The 19,863-nt window shown below is 39.9% G+C and overlaps 1 protein-coding gene and 1 pseudogene across 4 annotated transcripts in view; both read left to right on the top strand.

Annotated features, from left to right (window-relative positions):
* ULK4 (unc-51 like kinase 4) overlaps nucleotides 1–19,863 on the top strand; it is a 715,505-nt gene that overhangs the window by 89,186 nt on the left and 606,456 nt on the right. The window lies entirely within an intron of this gene.
* Nucleotides 13,277–13,764, top strand: ATP6V0E1P2 (ATPase H+ transporting V0 subunit e1 pseudogene 2; annotated as a pseudogene).

Raw genomic sequence — 19,863 nt, 5'->3', positions numbered from 1 at the left:
CTCCCAAATTGCTGGGATTACAGGCATGAGCCACTGCGCCCAGCCGAAGTTTGTTGATTTTTATCTTCAGCTCTAGAAATAGGGAAAAAAAGTCTTACATATAATTTTTCAACTGCAGTTTTTTTTTTCAATTTTATTCATGTATCGGGGTGTGAATTTATACTTCTCCCAAACTGGGAAATTAACATAAAAACCAGGCCTGGGCTCGTGGTTCTGATAATTGTCGAGGAGCTGTATTGGGCTTACCCTCTTGCCAATAATAATAATAATGCATCTGGATGGAATATAAAAACAAAAGTAGGTAGAAGCTGGAGGCAACACACTACCTGAAAGAAGGGAAGTGGACCTGGCTGAGCTGTACGTTTAACTGGCTTATCCTTCTGCAGATGTGCTAAGTTCACACCAAGGGCATAGAGTTTAGGCAGAAAGTGACTTCTTCCTGGGGCAAGGAACTGAGGTTGGAATTTGGCCCTGCTGGGAAAGGGTGGTGCAAATGAGTAGGGAAAAATCATAGTAAGAGCAGAGTCACAAAATATGTGTACAAGTTCCTTTACAGTCATTGGCTAACTTTGAAGCTGTGCATGTGCTGAACGACACCCTGTGGAACCCAGCAGAAAGCAGCAGCTGGGAGGTTAAAGCATTGAGCAGAAATTCCAGCAGTTGCTCAGTGCTAGGGAGATAAGAGTTTGGAGGTGAAGTCTCACCAAGTAAAGAGGGGCTTGGTAAACACCTTTAACTTTCCATTGAAATTTGAGAAGGGCCATGCCACACCTTAGGACTGAGCGTCCTGTACCGGGACTAAGGGCTATATCCTAGGGCTAAAGGAAAAACAAGAAAAGACTGGTACTAACAAAAGCAAAAAGAAGCCTTCACAGGATTGAGGTGACTGGACAGACGCTACTTGCCAGAACACAACTCAGTACTCTGTAGAGGAAAATAAGGTTATCCAGAGTCTTTATTATATATTGTCCTGAAAGCTCAGAGGAGAAACTGTTGGTGACCCTGACTTAGATAAAGAGATTTTAGACATAACACCAAGAGCATCATCTATAAAAGAAAAAAAGTTAATAAATTGGACTTCATCAAAATTAAAAACATTGGCTCCACCAAAGACCCTGTTAAGATGATGAAAAAGACAAGCTAGACACATGGAGAAAATATTTACAAGCTACATATCTGACGAAGGACTCATATCTGGAGTATGTCTCAAACCTCAACAGCAAAAAATATTCGATTAGAAAATGGGCAAAAGACATGAGAAACGTTTTACCAAAGAGGCTATATGAATAGTAGATGAGTACCTGAGAATATACTTGTCATTATTATCCGTTAGAGAAAAGCAAACTAATTCTGCAACTATACACCTATTAAAGCAATATAATAGTGGCAGCACCAAGTGCTGTCAAGGATGCTGAAAAACTAGCTCTGTATATTGCTGATGGGAGTGCAAAATCATGCAACTACTCTGGAAACATTTTGGCCATTTGGTAAACTAAACATTTGCTTACCATATTTTAACTCCATATTACATATCCATATGAATATACATATTACATATTTACTTTGAGCTTTTTTTCAGAAGTATGAAATCTTATGTTCATACTTAGAATACTACTTAGTAAGAGAAATGAACTATTGATACCCAACAACTTGGTTGGCTTTCAAGGGCATTATGATGAATGAAGTGTCATATTAATATACCATTCTTGAAATTACAGTGTGAGAAAACAGATCAGTATGTATTAGTTCATTCTTATGCTGATATGAAGAAATACCCAAGACTTGGTAATTTATAGGGAAAAGAGATTTAATTGACTTGCAGTTCCACATGGCTGGGGAGGCCTCAGGAAACTTAAAATCATGGCAGAAGGCACCTCTTTACATGGCGGGAGGAGAGAATGAGTGCTGAGTGAAGGGAGAAGCCCCTTATAAAACCATCAGATCTTGTGAGAACTCACTGTTATGAGAATAGCATGAGGGAAACCACCCCCATGATTCAGTTACCTCCACCTGGTCCCACCCTTGACATGTGGGGATTATTACGATTCAGGGTGAGATTTGGGTGGGGACACAGAGCCAAACTATATCACAGTGGTTGCCAGGGGTTAGGGATATTAGAAGAAGAGGGAGAGTTTGAGTGCATAAGGATTGTATGAGGGAGATCTTCCTCATGATTGATTGGTTCTGTTTTTTGATTGCAGTGGTAGTTGTGTGAATCTACACGTGGTAAAGTGATGTAGAATTATATATACACATTGTACCAATGGCAGACTTTTGGCTTTAATATTGTTCTATAATTATGTAAGATGTTACCATTATGGGAAACTAGAGGAAGGACATATGGGACTTCTCTGTACTGCTTTTTCTATTCCCTGTGAGTTTATAATTATTTCACAATAAAAGTTCAAAAACACTTATTGGATGGACGTCACAGTCAGAACATAATAGAAGACAGAATCAGTGAATTATAGGTCTGTTTAATAGAAATGACTCAAACTGACACACAAAGCAAAAAGAATGAAGAAAACAGAACACAGTGTCTGAGACTTTGTGGAATAATATTACATAAAATTATCTAACAGTCACATGATTTGACTCTCAGAAGGAGATGAAAGAATGAGATAGAAGGAATATTTGAAGGGATAATTGTTGAAAATGTTTCCAAATTGATGATAATGTCAGCTCACATTCCAAGAATCACACCGAACCCTGACCAAGATAATCTAAAGAGGACTACATCTAGGCTCATCATGGTCAAACTGCTGAATATCAAAACTAAAGAGAAAAGTCCTAAAAGCAATTAGAGAAATCCTATATATTCCATGCTGGGAAACAGTTATATGAATGCGTGCTGACTTCTCCTTGGAAACCATAGATGCCATTAGACAGTGGAACAATATTTTTAAAGTGTTCAAAGAAAAAAATCTGCTATCCCAGAATTCTGTATTTTGTGAAAATACTGTCAACAATAAAAGGGAAATAAGGAAAAAAATGAGTAAATTAGTCTCCAAACTGAGAGAATTTGACTAGAAATGTTAAAGTGAGTTTTTCTTGTTAAAGTTAAATGAGCAAATATAAACCTGGGTTTACAAGAATAATTGAAGAGTACTATAGTGGTAAATATGTTGGAAAATAAACAATTTTTCATAACTTGTTAAATCTATTAAGGCCAGAAAAATGTGTGTTTTATAACATAAGTAGAAGCAAAATATATGACAGCAGTTGTACAAAGGGTTGGAGGAACACATGCGGAAGTGTTTAATGTGGATTTTATTGTATCCCTATATTTTATGTGTATATTATGTTTTATGTATATATTGTATATGTGAGTGTTTTTTTGGACAGAGTCTCACCCGGTCACCCAGGCTGGAGTGCAGTGGCATAATCTTGGCTCATTGCACCTCTACCTCCTGGGTTCAAGTGATTCTCATGCCTCAACCTCCCGAGTAACTGGGATTACAGGTGTGTGCCACCATGCCCGGCTAATTTTTTTATTTTATTTTTTAGTAGAGATGGGGTTTCATCATGTTGGCCAGGCTGGTCTTGAACTCCTGGCCTCAGGTGATTCATCCGCCTTAGCTTCCCAAAGTGCCGGGATTATAGGCACGAGCCATGGTGCCCTGTATAGCCCATAATATAATATTATGAGCTAATATTGTATATGTTCTTACACATATGTGAAATAATATAATGTTGATTCAGGGTTACTTCTGATAATTTATGCATGCTATTATAATTGGAAGACTATCCAGTTAAAAAAAAAACCCTGAAAAACAAGAGTAATTACTAAATAGTGAATAGAAGAGATAAAAAGGAATACTTGGCTAATCATAGTGCCATGGTGTTTACAACTAATTGATTGTAACTAGTTACAGATTTGTTTCTTCTCCACTCCCACTGCTTCACTTGACTAGTCTTAAAAACTAAATTACCATCTAATCAGGAATAATAAGTCAGGAAAGGAGGAATAAAGGAAGAAAGATAAAATGGGGCAAATAGAAAGCAAATGACAAGATGATAGACTTAAACCTCACCATATTAATAACTGTATTAAATATGAGTAGCCTAAATATTCCCATCAAAAGGCAGAGATTGTCATATTGGGGGGGAAAAAAAAGACCTAGCTGGTCCAGTGGCTCACACCTGTAATCCCAGCATACAGGGAGGCCAAGGCGAGTGGATCACTTGAGGTCGGAAGTTCAAGATCACTCTGACCAACATGATGAAACCTGTCTCTACTAAAAAAAAAATACAAAAAAAATTAGGTGGATATGATGGTGCACGCCTCTGTAATTGCAGCTATTTGGGAGGCTGAGGCAGGAGAATGGCTTGAAACCTGGAGGCGTAGGTTACAGTGAGCTGAGATCCCACTACTGCACTCCAGCCTGGGCGACAGAGTGAGACTCCGTCTCAAAACAAAAACAAAAACAAAAACCTAGCTATATACAGTTTATATGAGACATACTTTAAATGGGAAGTTAGACTTACAAGATATACCATGGAAACACTAGTAACAAGAAAGCTTAAGTAGCTATATTAATAACAGTAGAAATTAAGGGAGTATTACTAGAGATAAAAACAGTTCATAATAATGAAAATTTCAGTTCATTAGGAAGCATTAACAATCCTTAATTTGTCTGTGTGAAATGAGACTACTTTAAAATATATGAAAGAAAAATTGACAGAACTAAAAGAATTTGATAATGACAAATTCATTATTGTTGGATATTTTTAAAATAAGTAGATAAAAATTATGTGAGAACATGGAAGATTTGAATGATATTAATGAAATTGAAATAACATTTATAGAATGCTAATTCCCACGATTATACAATACCTTTATTTTGAAAGCATACTGAATAGTCACTAAAACAGACCATATTCTTGGCCATAAAACATCTCTTTATAACAAAGTATTGAAATTATTTATAATATGTTCTCTGACCATGATGGAATTAAATTAGAAATGTCTAACAAGAGGAAATCTAGAAAATCCCCCAAATGTCAGGAAATTAAGAAAAATGCTTGTAACTCATGGGTCAATAAAATCTCACAAATTTTTAGAAAATATTTAAAGCTGAGTAATAAGGGGAACCCAACACATCACCACATTTGTGATGCTGCTAAATTGGGTGTAAGAGTGAAATAATTCATAACTTGAAATGCTCAGATTAGAGCAGTAGTTCTGAAGACTCTGTGCATCACAATTGCCTGGAAGGTTTACTAAAACACAGATTGTCAGGCTGGGCGTGGTGACTCATGCCTGTAATCCCAGCACTTTGGGAGGTTGAGGCGGGCAGATCACTTGAGGCCAGGAGCTTGAGACCAGCCTGGCCAAGGGTGGTTTAGTAGAAACCCTGTCTACTGAAAGTACAAAAATTATCTGGGCATGGTGGTACACACCGGTAATCCCAGCTACTTGGGAGGCTGAGGCATGAGAATCGCTTAAATCTGTGAGGCGGAGTTAGCAGTGAGCCAGAATCTTGTCACTGCACTCCAGCCTGGGTGACACCTTGCCCCCCCAAAACAACAAAACACACAGATTGTCAGACCCCACCTCCAAAGTTTCTCACTCTGTAGATTTTGAGTGGGGCACAGTAATTCGCATTTCCGGTAAGTGCCCTTGTGGCTTTTGATGCTGCTGGTTTAGGGACTATTCTTTGGGAGCCACTGTATTAGAAATCAAGAATGTTTTAAGTTCCAGTTTAAGAAGCTAGAAAAAGGAGAGTAAATTAAACCCAATGCAATTCAAATAAAGGAAATAATAAAAGTAAGAGCTGAACTCAATGAACTCGATAAGTAACAATAGATAAAAAATTGATGTCCTGTGTTCCCAGAGGTAGAAAAGAATAAAAGAGATGAAACCAAACCAATAGTTCATATTGATAAATTGCATAAGATTTTTAAATCTCTAGCTAGATTGATCAAAAGAAAGTAAAGAGAAAATACAAATTACTAACGTCAAGACTGGGAGATAGCAATATGAGTCTAATGTATGTTAAAAGATACTAAGGGGATAATCTGAATAATTTCATACTTGACAAATGGAAAAAGTGCTTGAATAACAGAACTTTCTGGAACTGATAGAAAAATTTGGGGAGCCCTATATCTGTTAGTACATTATTAAAAACCTTCCAGTTTTTAATAATGATAACAGTTCCAGGCTTAGATGACTTCCCTGATGAATTCAACACACATATGCTGTGAATCACACATACACAAGCGCATATTATAGTAGATACATTAATACAGGGGTCCCCAAACCGGGCTGTGGACCAGGACTGGTTTATGGCCTGTTAGGAACCGGGCTGCACAGCAGGAGGTGAGTGGTGGGCCAGTGAGCATTACTGCCTGAGCTCTGCCTCCTGTCAGATCAGCAGTGGCATTAGATGCTCATAGGAGCGTGAACCCTATTGTGAACTGCGCATGCGAGGGATGTAGGTTGTGCACACTTTATGAAAATCTAATGCCTGATAATCTGAGGCAGTACAGTTTCATCCCAAAACCATCCCCCTAACCCTGGTCCATGGAAAAATTGTCTTCCACAAAACTGATCTCCAGTTCCAAAAAGGTTGGGGACTGCTGCATTAATATATATTGATACTTAATTATATTCAGTCAACATCAGGTCTACTTAGCTTTATGAGAAGGTACAAGACAAGCAACACAGCATGAACGATAACAGCATAGTGGAGGTCTTACGATGTACATATAGCTTGCATGTGGTGGTAGATGAGGCTGAATGGGTGTGGACCAACTCAATTGAGGGAAATCATGTCTAAAATTGTTTGAAGTTGTTTTGTTACTGAGTTTTGACTGTTATCTCCCTATCATCTGTCTGTTCTTGTCTGTGTAAACATCTGTATCTGAGTTTTTAAAATATTCTGGATACAAGTTCTTTATCCAACATATGGTTGGCAATATTTTCTCTGTGGCTTGTCTTTTTATTTTATGGTATCTTTAAAACATTCTTAATTTTGATGAAGTCCAACTTGCCAATTTTTTCTTTTACGAATGGTTCTTTTGTTGTCTTAAGTCTTTTTATGCAAGGTCACAGAGTTTTTCTCGTGTGTGTTTCTAAAATTTTTGTAGTTTTGAGTTTTGTATTTTAACCTACAATAAAATTTTAGTTAATTTTGTATAGGGAGTTAGGTATGAATTGAGGGTTTTTTAAATTTATTTAAAAAAATTTTTTGGTATCCAGTCAACAAATATTTAATGAGCACCTTCTTTGAGCCAAGTAATTGGGTAGGCCCTGGAGGCAAATAAGCAAAACAGGTGTTGTCCCTGTCTTTGTGGAACTTTCCGATGGGCCAAGGATATTAAAGAGAGGAAGTTGAAGTAATAAAGGAGACTGAGAAGGAGCAACGGTTAAGTAGAAACTCCAGAAAGTTGCTAATGGAGGGAAAGAGAGGTGTGTGTTCTGTGAAGGAGAAAATGGTCATCTTTTTTACTTTTGAGTTACATAAGTTGAAAATAGACATTTCTATTGGATCTGGTAAGATAGGGTTATTAGTGACTCACAAAGAAAAATTTGAGATGGGAGCCAGATTGGGGTGATTGTATAGAAAACTAGAAGTGAACAAGTGGTGAATCTACATCTAGATAAGGCTTTTTTTTTTTTTTTTTTTTTTTTTTTTTTTTTTAAAGACAGAGTCTTGCTCTGTTGCCCAGGCTGGAGTGCAGTGGCGTGATCGGTTCACTGCAACCTCCGCCTCTTGGGTTCAAGTGATTTTCCTGCCTCAGCCTTCCAAGTAGCTGGGGATTACAGGAATGTGCCACCACATCTGGCTAATTTTTGTATTTTTCATAGAGATGAGGTTTCATCATGTTGGCCAGGCTGGTCTTGAACTCCTGACCTCAAGTGATCCACCCACCTTGGCCTCCCAAAGTCCTGGGATTACAGGCATGAGCCACCGTGCCTGGCCTTCTAGTTAAGTCTTAGAAAAAGTTTGGCTCTGAGTGTGAGGCATATGTAAGGGCTAATGGAAAAGATTAATCCTGGGGGGAATCTGGGCATTGAAGATAGAGGTTGGAGAAAGGCCAACTGAGGGTAGATAGTTCTTAAAATGAGTGGAAGGGAATGACCTAGGGTAATTGGTCTTAGATCAGAGAAGGAAGGGACACTATCCACTATAACAGGAAGAAAAGATGAATAAATGTAAATGAAGTGGATAAGATTTAGTGTTGGATGATTTATCTTCTTGAGCTCCTGGACTCAAGCAACCTGCTTGCTTTGGCCTCCCAAAGTGCTGGGATTATAGGCATGAAACACCACACCCAGCCTTGAATGAGCTATCTAATATATAGTGGCTTCTGACTCTGGGGTACAGCAAGGTCACCGTGAGAAAGAGAATAATGAGGTAGAGCAAGATGGTGGAATAGAGGATTCCACCTATCATCCCTCCTGCAAGGATACCAAATTAACAAGTATCTACACAGTAAAAGCACCTTTGTAAGAACCAAAAATCCGGTGAGCACTCATAGTACCGGGTTTTAATCTCATATCGCTGAAAGAGGCACCAAAAACAAAACAAAACAAAACAAAACAAAACAAAACAAAACAAAACAGTTCTGAATTGCCAACACCACTCCCTGATCCCCGCCCTAGCAGCAGCCTGGTGTGGAGAACATCTCTGGGCACTGGGGGAGGGAGAACATAGCAATTGTGAGGCACTGAACTCAGTGGTGTCCTGTTAGAGCAGAAAGGAAACCAAGACCAAACTCAGCTGATGCCTGCCATGGAGAGAGCATGTAATCCAGCCCTAGCCAAAGGGGAGTCACTCATCCCAATGGTGGGAGCTTGAGTTCCTGCAAATCGTACCACTGAGCGCTGCAGCACTCTTTGTGTACAAGACTGCCTTTGAAAGGCAGTCTAGGCCATAAGGACTGCAACTTGTGAGTCTTAGTGCTGAATTAGGCCCAGAGACAGTGGACTGAGGGGGCACATGACATACTGAGATGCCAGCTGGGGCAGCTGGGGAGTGCTGGCTTCATTCCTCCCCCAACCCCAGGCTGCATAGCTCGCGGCTCCAAAAAAAGACCCCTTCCTTCTGCTTGAGAGAAGAGGAAAGAGTGGGGGAGGACTTTGTCTTGCACCTAGGATACCAGCCCAGCCACAGCAAGATAGGGCATCAGTTAAAGTCACGGGGCCCCTGTTTCGGGCCCTGGCTCCCAGATGGTATTTCTAGAACACCCTGGGCCAGAAGGGAAACTGTTACCTTGAGGGAAAGGACCCGGTCCTGTCAGCATTCATTACCTGTGAACCGAAGAGCCTTTGGGCCCTGAATAACCAGCAGTGATACCCCCATATTACATTTTGAGGGCCTTGGTGAGTCTCTAAGACTTGCTGGCTTCAGGTGAGACTTACCACATAACTAGTTGTGGTGTATGGGGCAAAACTCCTCCTGCTTGAGAAAAGCAGAGGGAAAAGTAAAGGGGACTTTGTCTTGCACCTTAGGTACCAGCATGGCCAAAGAGGGTAGAACACCAAAAGGGCTCTTGGGATCTCTGATTTCAGGACTTGACTCTTGGATGGCATTTCTGGACCTCCTGGGCCAGAGGGGGAGCCCACTGTCCTGAAGGGTGAGGCCCAGGTCAGGCAGCATTTATGACAAGCTGACTTAAGAGACCTTGGGCCTTAAGGGAACATCAGTGGTAGTCTGGCAGTACTCCTCATGGCCTGGTGGTGGCTACAGGTGAGGATCCTCTCCCTTTGGAAAGGGGAAGGAGGAAGGGAGGGACTGCATTGTGTAGTTTCAGTACCAGTTCAGCTGCACTACATTAGAACACCAGGTAGACTTCTAAGGTTTTTGACTCTAGTCCCTGACTCCTGGATGGCACTTCTGGACCCACCTGGGACTTAGGGGACCTTGCCGCCCTGAAGGGAAGGACAGGCCTGGCTGGCTTTGCCACCTGCTGATTGTACAGCCCTAGGGCCTTGAGCGAACATAAGCAGTAGCTAGGGAGTGGTTATAGCAGGCCTTGGGTAAGACCTAGCACTTCTCAGGTCTGACCCAGTGCTGTCATAGCGGTGGTGGCCATAGGGGTGCTTGTGTCACTCCACCCCAAGTCTTTAGGTGGCTCAGAACAGAGAAAGAGGGAGAGAGAGAGAGAAAGGGGGGGGGGAGCGGAGAGAGAGAGAGAGAGAGACTGACTGACTGACTCTGTATGTTCGGGAGAAAGTAAGGGAAGGGAATAAGAGTGTCTGCCTGGTGATCTAGAGAATTCTTCCAGATCTCATCTAAGACCATCAAGGCAATACATGTCTGAGTCTGCAAGAACTACAGTGTTACTGGGCACGGGGTGCCCCCTAAAGCAGATACAGCCTAGATCACAACACCCAAGTCCTTTCAAATATCCGAAAAGCCTTCCCAAGAAGGATGGCTACAAATAAGCCCAGGCAGTGAAGACTATAATAAATACCTAACTCTTCAGTGCCCAGACACTGAAGAATATCTGCTAACATCAACACCATCCAGGAAAACATGACCTCACCAATGAACTTTATAAATAAGGCACGAGGGACCAATCCTGGAGAAACAGAGATAGGTGACCTTTCAGAGAGAGAATTCAAAATAGCTATGTTGAGGAAACTCAAAAGAAATTCAAGGTAACACAGAGAAGGAATTTAGAATTCTATCAGATAAATTTAACAAAGAGATTGAAATAATTAAAAACAATCAAGCAGAAATTCTGAAGCTGAAAAATACAGTTGGCACACTGAAAAATATATTGGCGTCCTTTAGCAGAATTTATTAAGCAGAAGAGAGAATTAGTGAGCTTGAAGACTGCCTAATTGAAAATACCCAGGCTGGGTGCAGTATCATGCTTGTAATCCCAGCACTTAGGGAGGCTGAGGGTGGATTGCTTGAGCTGAGGAGTTTGAGACCAGCCTGGGCAACATGGTGAAACCCCGTCTCTACAAAAAATACAAAAATTAGCTGGGTGTGATAGTGTGAGCCTGTACTCTGGAAGCTGTGGTGGGAGGATCACTTGAGTCCTGGAGGTGGAGGTTGCAGTGAGCGGAGATCATGCCACTGCACTCCAGCCTGGGTGACAGAGTGAGACCCTGTCTCAAAAAAGAAAAAACAAGAAGCACGCCTACAAGATCTAGAAAATAACCTCAAAAGAGAAAGTCTAAACGTTATTGGCCTTAAAGAGGAGGTAGAGAAAGATAGAGGTAAAAAGTTTATTCAAAAAGATAATAGAGAATTTCCTGAACCTAGAGAAAGATGTCAGTGTCCAAGTACAAGAAGGTCATAGAACACCAAGCAGATTTAACCCAAAGAAGACAACCTCAAAGCATTTAATAATCAAACTCCTAAAGGTCAGGGATAAAGAAAGGATCCTACAAGCAGCAAGAGAAAAGAAAGAAATAACATAAAATGGAGCTCCAGTACATCTGGCAGCACACTTTTCAGTGTAAACCTTAAAGCCCAGGAGGGAGTGACATGTCATATTTAAAGTACTGAAGGAAAATAACTTTTATCCTAGAAGGGTATATCTGGTGAAAATATCCTTCAAATGTGAAGGAGAAATAAAGACTCTCCCAGACAAACAAAACCTGAGGGATTTCATTAATACCAGACCTGTCCTACAAGATATGCTAAAGGGAATACTTCAGTCAGAAAGAAAAGGACAGTAATGAGAAATAATCATCTGAAGGTAGAAAACTCACTGGTAATTTTAAGTACACAGAAAAACAGAGAATATTGTAACACTGTAATTGTGTGTAAACTACTTCTACTATAAGTAGAAAGACTAAAATATGAGCCAATCAAAAGTAATAACTGTATCAATTTTTCAAGATGGTCAGTGCAATGAGATCTAAATAGAAACAGCAAAAAGTTTAAAAGCAGGGGCATGATATTAAGGCATAGAGTTTTTCTTAGTTTTCTTTTTCCTTGTTTGTTGGTTTATGTAGAGTTAAGTTGTTATCAGGTTAAAATAATGGGTTATAAGATAGTATTCGCAAGCCTCATGGTAACCTCAAGCCAAAAACAAACAAACAAACAACAACAAAAAAACACATAGTGGATACACAAAAAATAAAAAGCAAGAAACTAAATCATATCCCCAGAGAAAATCACCTTCACTAGTGGAGGATAGGAAAGAAAGAAGGAAGAGAAGATCACAAAACAACCAGAAAACAAATAACAAAATGGCAGGAGTAAGTCCTTACTTATCAATAATAACATTGAATGTAAATGGACTAAACTCTCCCGTCAAAAGACAGAGACTGGCTGGATGAAAAAACAAGACCCATTGATTGTTGCCTACAAGAAACACACTTCACCTATATAGACACACACAGGCTGAAAATAAAGGGATGGAAAAAAATATTCCATGCCAGTGGAAACCAAAAAAGAGCGGGAGTAGTTATATTTACATTACATACAATAGATTTCAAGACAAAATCTGTAAGAGGAGCCAAAGAAGGTCACTACATAATGATAAAGGAGTCAGTTCAGCAAGGTGATATAACAATGTAAAATATATATGTACCCAACACTGGAGCACCTAGATATATAAAGGGAATATTATTAGACCTAAAGAGAGAGGCCTTGATACAATAATGGCTGGAGACTTCAAACCCCATTTTCAGCATTGGACGGATCTCCCAGACAGAAAATCAACAAAGAAGCATCAGACTTAATCTTCACTATAGACAAAAAGGATCTAATATTTACAGAACATTTCATCCAAGGGCTGCAGAATGCACATTCTTTTTCTCAGACATGAATTATTCTCAAGGTTAGACCACATTTTAGATCACAAAACAAGTCTTAAAAAATTCAAAAAATTGAAATAATATCAAGCCTCTTTTCTGACCACTATGGATTAAAACTAGAAATTAATAAGAATTTTAGAAACTTTACAAATACATGGAAAGTAAACAATATGCTCCTGAATAGTGGGTCAGTGAAGAAATTAAGAAGGAATTTGGGGGCCAGAGGTAGTGGCTCATGCCTGTAACCCCAGCACTTTGGGATGCCGAGGTGGGTGGATCATAAGGTCAGGAGTTCGAGAGCAGCCTGACCAACATGGTGAAACCCTGTTTCTACTAAAAAAAAAAAAAAAAAAAAAAAAATTAGCCAGGCATGGTGGCGTGCACCTGTAATCCTAGCTACTGGGGAGGCCAAGGCAGGAGAATTGCTTGAACCTGGGAGGTGGAGGTTGCAGTGAGCTGAGATTGTGCCACTGCACTCCAGCCTGGGTGAAAGAGTGAGACTCTGTCTAAAAAACAAACAAAACAAACAAAAAAGAAGGAATTTGGGAAATGAAGCGGTGGGGCAGAGGCTGGCAGCTCAGGCAGTGACCATGCATATTATGGCCTCATGGTGCCTTTCGCTGTGATGAGCATGTTCTGGGGCTTCGTTGGCTTCTTGGTGCCTTGGTTTATCCCTAAGGGTCCTTACTGGGAAGTTATCATTACCATATTGGTGACCTGTCCAGGTTTCTGCTATCTCTTTTGGCTGATTTCAATTCTGGCCCAACTCAACCCTCTCTTTGGACCACAGTTGACAAATGAAGCCGTCTGGTATCTGAAGCATCATTGGCCTTGAGGAGGAAGATGTGCTCTACAGTGCTCAGTCTTTGAGGTCACGAGGAGAGAATGCCTTCTAGATGCAAAATCACCTCCAAACCAGACCACCTTTCTTGACTTGCCCATTTTGGTCATTAGTTGCCTTAAACATCAGCACCACATTTAAATGTCTTATTCTACAATGAAGTGTTTTTTCCTTCACTTTTTTACACTTTAACGAATTATGTCCCTACTTAAACTGAACTGTGCTGACTCCAGAAAATGATTATGTACTCTTCTGAGATAGAAGATTGTCTTCTTCTGAGAGATATGTTACTGCCTCCTTGGAATCTGTGCATTTGAAGATGGCTCCTGCCTTCTCACATGGGAACCAATGAAGTGTTTAGAAACTGCTGCAAGACAAGTAATACTCCAGTGGGGCAGTCAGTAGGAGAGCATTTTCAGAGGGAAGAGCTGTCTCAACAGAATTACACCTTACTGTATTTTCAGGATGAATTTATTATTTCTGCCGTCTTTTGGAATAAATTATTTTTCTGCTTTCTATGGGGGGGAAAAAAGAATTTGGGCCAGGAACTGTGGCTCATGCCTATAATCCCGACACTTTGGGAGACTGAGGTAGGCAGATCACCTGAGGCCAGGAGTTCCAGACCATCCTGGGCAGCATGGTGAAACCTTGTCTCTACAAAAAAAAAAAAAAATCACACAAAAATTAGCCAAGCATGGTGGCACGTGCCTGTAGTTCCTGTTACTTGGGAGGCTGAGGTGGGAGGATTGCTTGAGTCCAGGAAGTGGAGGTTGCAGTGAGCTGAGATCATGCCACTGCACTCCAGCCTGGTTTCAAAAAAAAAAAAAAAAAAAATTGAAAAATTTCTGGAAACAAATGATAATGTAAATACAGCATATCAAAACCTTTGGGAGGCTGGGCATGGTGGCTCATGCCTGTAATTCCAGTACTCTGGGAGGCCGAGGCAGGTGGATCACTCGAGGACAGGAGTTGGAGACCAGCCTGGCCAACATGGTGAAACCCCGTCCCTACTAAAAATACAAAAATTAGCCAGGCATGGTGGCAGGCGCCTGTAATTCCAGCTACCTGGGAGGCTGAGGCACAAGAATTTCTTGAACCTGGGTGGTGGAGGCTTGCAGTAAGCCAAGATCACACCGCTGCACTCCAGCCTGGGCGACAAAGTGAGATTCTGCCAAAAAAAAAAAAAAAAAAAAAAACAAACAAAAAAAACCCTATGGGATACAGTAAAAGCAGTACTCAGAGGTAATTTTATAGCTATAAGTGCCTACGTCAAAAAGAGGAAAAACTTCAAATGAACAATCTAACAATGCATCTTAAAGATTTAGAAAAGCAAGGGAAACCAAATCTAAAATTAGAAGAAAAGAAATAATAAAGATCAGAGCAGAAATAAATGAAATTGAAATGGAGAAACAATATGAAAGATCAATGAAACAAAAAGTAGTTTTTCCAAAGAGTTAAAACAAAATGACAAACTTTAGCCAGACTAAGAAAACCAGAAGATCCAAATAAATAAAATCAGAAATGAAAAAGGACACATTACAACTAATACTGCAGAAATTTAAAGGGTCATTAGCGACTGCTATGTCAACTATATGCCAATAAATTGGAAAATCTAAAAGAAGTGGACAAATTCCTAGATACATAAAATCTACCAAGATTGAACCATGGAGAAATCCAAAACCTGAACAGACTAATAACAAATAATGAGATCAAAGTCATAATAAAAGTCTCCCAGTAAAGAAAAGCCAGGAACCTGATGGCTTCACTGCTGAATTCTACCTAACATTTAAAGCAGAACCAACTGATACCAATCCTACTCAAACTACTCAAGAAAAATAAATACATAAATAAAATAAGACGAGGAGAGAGTACTTCCAGAATTACTCTACAAGGCCAGTATTACCCAGATACCAAAATCTGACAAAGACATATCAAAAAAAGAAAACTATGGGCTAGTATCTCTGATGAATATTGATGCAGAAATCCTCAACAAAATACTAGGAAACTGAATTCAGCACTACATTGGAAATATCATTCATTAGAAAGAGAATAATGAGTACCCAAGGGATTTGAGTAGAGGAGGAGATATGAAGTGTCATCTCAGAGATGGGGAAAGCTGGCCCTCTAGGGAAAGAGAATAGGGCTCTACAGAAACCAGGTTTGTGCTGGAGAATTCTTGGTGAAAGAAGTTAGTCAGCCTAGTTTATGCTGTTCTCCAGAAGATAGCTGAGTTTCAGTCAAGAGAGGGGTTGGATCTCTTTGAGGGAGAGAGTGGCCACTTACAAACCCTCTTGCACAAAGCCCTGTGTTTCTGAGTCTTTTACCCAGGACCTAGTTTATCCAGTCTAATAGGAAAGCAAAGGAAGAAAAGCTGTGAGAAGTGAAGAGAAGCAATTAGAAGACTAATTGGCTTAGTCTTTTGTTTTGTTTTGTTTTATACAAGGTCTCACTCTGTCACCCAGGCTGTGGTGCAGTTGGGCAGTCTGGGCTCACTGCAACTTCTGCCTCCCTTCTGGCTCAAGCAGTCTACCCACCATAGCCTCCCAAGTAGCTGGGACCACAGAGGTGCACCACTACGCCTGGCTAATTTTTTTATTTTTTGTAGAAATGGGGTTTCACCATGTTGCTGAGTCTGGTCTTGAACTCTTAGATGCTTTTCTGGAAAGACTATCCTGTTGGATTTGAAGCTGAAGTTGAGCTTACATATATATACATATATATATATGTGTATATATATACACATATATATATATGTGTATATATATACACATATATATATGTGTATATATATACACATATATATATACATACATATATATATATATATATATTTATTTATTTATTTATTAATGTGTCCTCATGGAGTACTTTGTATCCCATTCCTGCTTTGGTGTAGTTTTCTTAGTTGTTTTGTACACTGTATATTTTGAGGGGCCATAGGTTGCCATATTTTACATCAGACACAGTGTTTGATTATTTCTTGCTTCTTTGTAGCCCCAAGCTTAGACATATCATTTAAATCCTCCATATTGTTAATTTCAGTGAATTTACCCTTGTATCTGACAGCTAAATAGACTTCTTTTTTTGTTACTTTTTGGACAGTAGGAGAGGCAAATTTGTTGAAAATGATAAAGCAAGAGTTGAATAATAATCACATTTTTGTGTGGAATGAAGTGAAACATTCTGGATTTGTTTCTTATATTAAGCTGTGATGCTGAAGTACATATCATTTGGGGAACTGCCACATTTGAATCACTTTTGCATACAAATTAAACATCTCACATCAAAGAATTCTTTAAAGACATGCTTTCTAATTTCTTAAAATGATGGAATTCATTTAATTTCTTATCTGACGTCTCATAGAACAATTTTTAGCTTCTATGTTTGCTGCTATGACTTAATTTTGGTGCTCGTTTTACCTAGGCTATGAATGTACCTTTGCTGTATTTTTTAGGGCAGCAGGTATGAGACTAACATATTTGAATGTAGTGTAAGTTAGTAATCCTTGGGAACCTAGCAAAGCATCACATTTAATTTTCTACTAGATGAAAGAAACATGGAAACAGAATTAGAGATGGAAAGAATTGCATAAAACACAACTAATCAGAGCTGATCCCTGAAGCAGAAAAATGCAATTTAAAGTGAGCTTCCTTTGTATTTCTACTATTTGAGGAGTGTTGAAGATATGACTTTTAATAGTATAGTAACAAGTAAATAATACTAGTTATATTTAGCAAGCTCAACATTGTAATATTGGAGTTCTCTATGCCATAACTTAAGTTATTACGGTATCTAAAGGACCCAATTTTAATTACAGGGCAATAGTAACTTGGCTTCTTAAGAAAACATTCATATAGGAGGCATAGTTGTGGTTCTGTTTCAAAATGTGTGTCATATAACCCTTGATAAATGTATGTATCATCCACACTGCAGTAGATGCTTACATTAGATACAGAAGTGGGGACCTGCCACAACAGTGTGGCAGTACCTGGATTATATGCCTCTGGCTTGGTTTTCTCTGCCTGGAATGGTTTCTCCCTCCATATTCATCAGGTTTTGTTTGTGGTTTCCAGAGGGCAGCTGTGAGATTAGAAAACGGGTATGTTTCTCTTTCCAGTATAGTTGCTAAGAGTCGTGGTCAAGGTACCCTATATTGGTAAGAAGACGCAGAGCATTGTTACTGTTATCATAGGTAGGTTTCAGAATGGGGAGGCCTCTGCTGACTGCCAGTCTTTTTTTGCACCTTCCTCTTTTAGCCACTGCCATGCAGTTGCTTGGTGGGTAGATTAAAAGGGGGAATTCAGAGGCCGATTCTGTGATATATCTCTGAGATGACGTATGCATTGTTATCTCTTGTGATCCCGATAGTTTTTTTTTTTTTTTTTTTTTTTTTTAAGCCAAGGATGGGTGTATAGGCCCACTGAACAGATGTGAGATGGATTTGGGCTAAGACTCCAGGTAGCACCTGATCTAGGTAAGTTCTTGAGTATTGGACTGTGGTGGCACTTGAAAGGGTCTGGGTAATTCCATTTCTTCAGTGCTCAGTCACATGATAAATGCTGAAGACTCCCTGGGGAAGGAAAGTGTTTTGGAACTATGGCCACTTTGCAAGGGTTTCAAGGAACCTCTCTCTAGGTTACTTGGGGAGCTCTAGGTCTATGAAGCAGGTTAGATCTGGGATCTGGGTAAGAAGCTGTGAATTCTTTATGGGACTTGAGTTAGGTTTCTGCTCAGTAAATCTAGAAATTTTCTTATTAAATATCAAGCATCAACTTAGGAGACAGACACCTGATGCTCAATTTACCGTTGATTCTTGTGGGTCAGAATATTCTGATCACCACATTGCCCTTTGACTCACTGTGGCAGTTTTGCCCACCTTGTCTGTGCAGATAAGGGCTGCTACTGGCCTTTACTAATCCCAGATCTCATGATTTCCACTGTGGTCAGAGAACCAAATTCCATTGTTAGTATTTCTCACTGTCATCTCTGGCCTATAAGGATAGCCACCTTAGAGCTCTTCAAAGATGCTGGTGTCCCCTTCATTAAGACAGTCTCCCAGGGTCACGTAAGAGGGATGGTTTAAGGGGTGGCTGAGCAGGCTGTACTTTGTTGAGTCATTCCAGTGTTTTCAATTTCCAGAGCTTTTAGATTCTGTCCTCTCTGGCAGTGGTTCTCAACATTGATGGCATGTTGGTGTTAACTGAAGAATCCCGAGGCTCCTAAATTTGAAGAGGAAAGGTTGATTTCTTATGCAGCCTGCAGGTTGGCTATCTTGACAGGCTGGGAAGTGTGGCCTCTGGCAGAAACTGAAAGCAGGCACTTCGAGGGAGGGAAGAATGGAACAGGAATTTATGCCAAATGAGTTGGCTAAGTATACATGTTTAATGATTATAGGATAAGCTGTGAATATTCATGAAGGGGGGTCACATGCATGTGTGGAAAGTAAACATGCATGTTACATGCAGCCCATGTTCACTTTGGGGTGGAGACTTAACATTTAAGTGCATTACAATTAGGCCCTAGGTGAAGCAGAAGATGGGAAGGCACTCACTACACAGCCTCTGTAAACCGGCCAGAACCAGTCCATGGTCCATGATCTCTTATCAGGAGAAAGTTACTGAAATCAGTCTCTCGTCCAATCAAAACTGTTGCTTTGGCTTGTGAATAGGGGAGGTTTTGAGTTAGTCAGCATCTGGCTGTCAGTGGGCTGCAGTTGTTTCAGTAGTGCCTGTCTTGAGGCCAGTGCTTATTTAGCTGCTCGAGAAAAACAAAAAATCCTGTGGCAGTTAGAACATAGTTTATTCTTTAAGTGTAGGGTACGTGATCTAACCCTTGCCTAGCATGGCCTTAGGTCTTGTTTATGATTTAGCATCTTATTGCCATGAGGAGTCTGTTCTGTCAGTCTTAATGCTCTCTATTTTAACATTTAAATAAGTTCTTATGCCCAGGCTGTACCCCATATCATTTAATCCATATCTCTGGGGGTGGATGGAAGTGTCTCTAGTCTTTAAAGCTATATGGGTGATTCTCATGTGCAGGCAATATTGAGTACCACAGTAGCAGTTCTCAAAGTGTGCTCCTAGACCAGCAGCATGAGCATTAATTGGCAACCTGTTAGAAATGCAAATTCTCAGGCCTTACCCCAGATCTACTAAATGAGAAACTCTGAGGAAGGGGTTTTGCAATCTATGTTTTTACAGACTCTTCAGTGATTCTGATGCACCCTAAAATTTAAGAACCACTGCTCCAGAGTATGCTGGGGAAATTGTAGCATTTTGACTTCATTAGA

Source organism: Homo sapiens, chromosome 3, assembly GCF_000001405.40.
Source record: "Homo sapiens chromosome 3, GRCh38.p14 Primary Assembly".
Classification (NCBI taxonomy): domain Eukaryota; kingdom Metazoa; phylum Chordata; class Mammalia; order Primates; family Hominidae; genus Homo; species Homo sapiens.
This window is presented reverse-complemented; position numbering and strand designations above follow the sequence as displayed.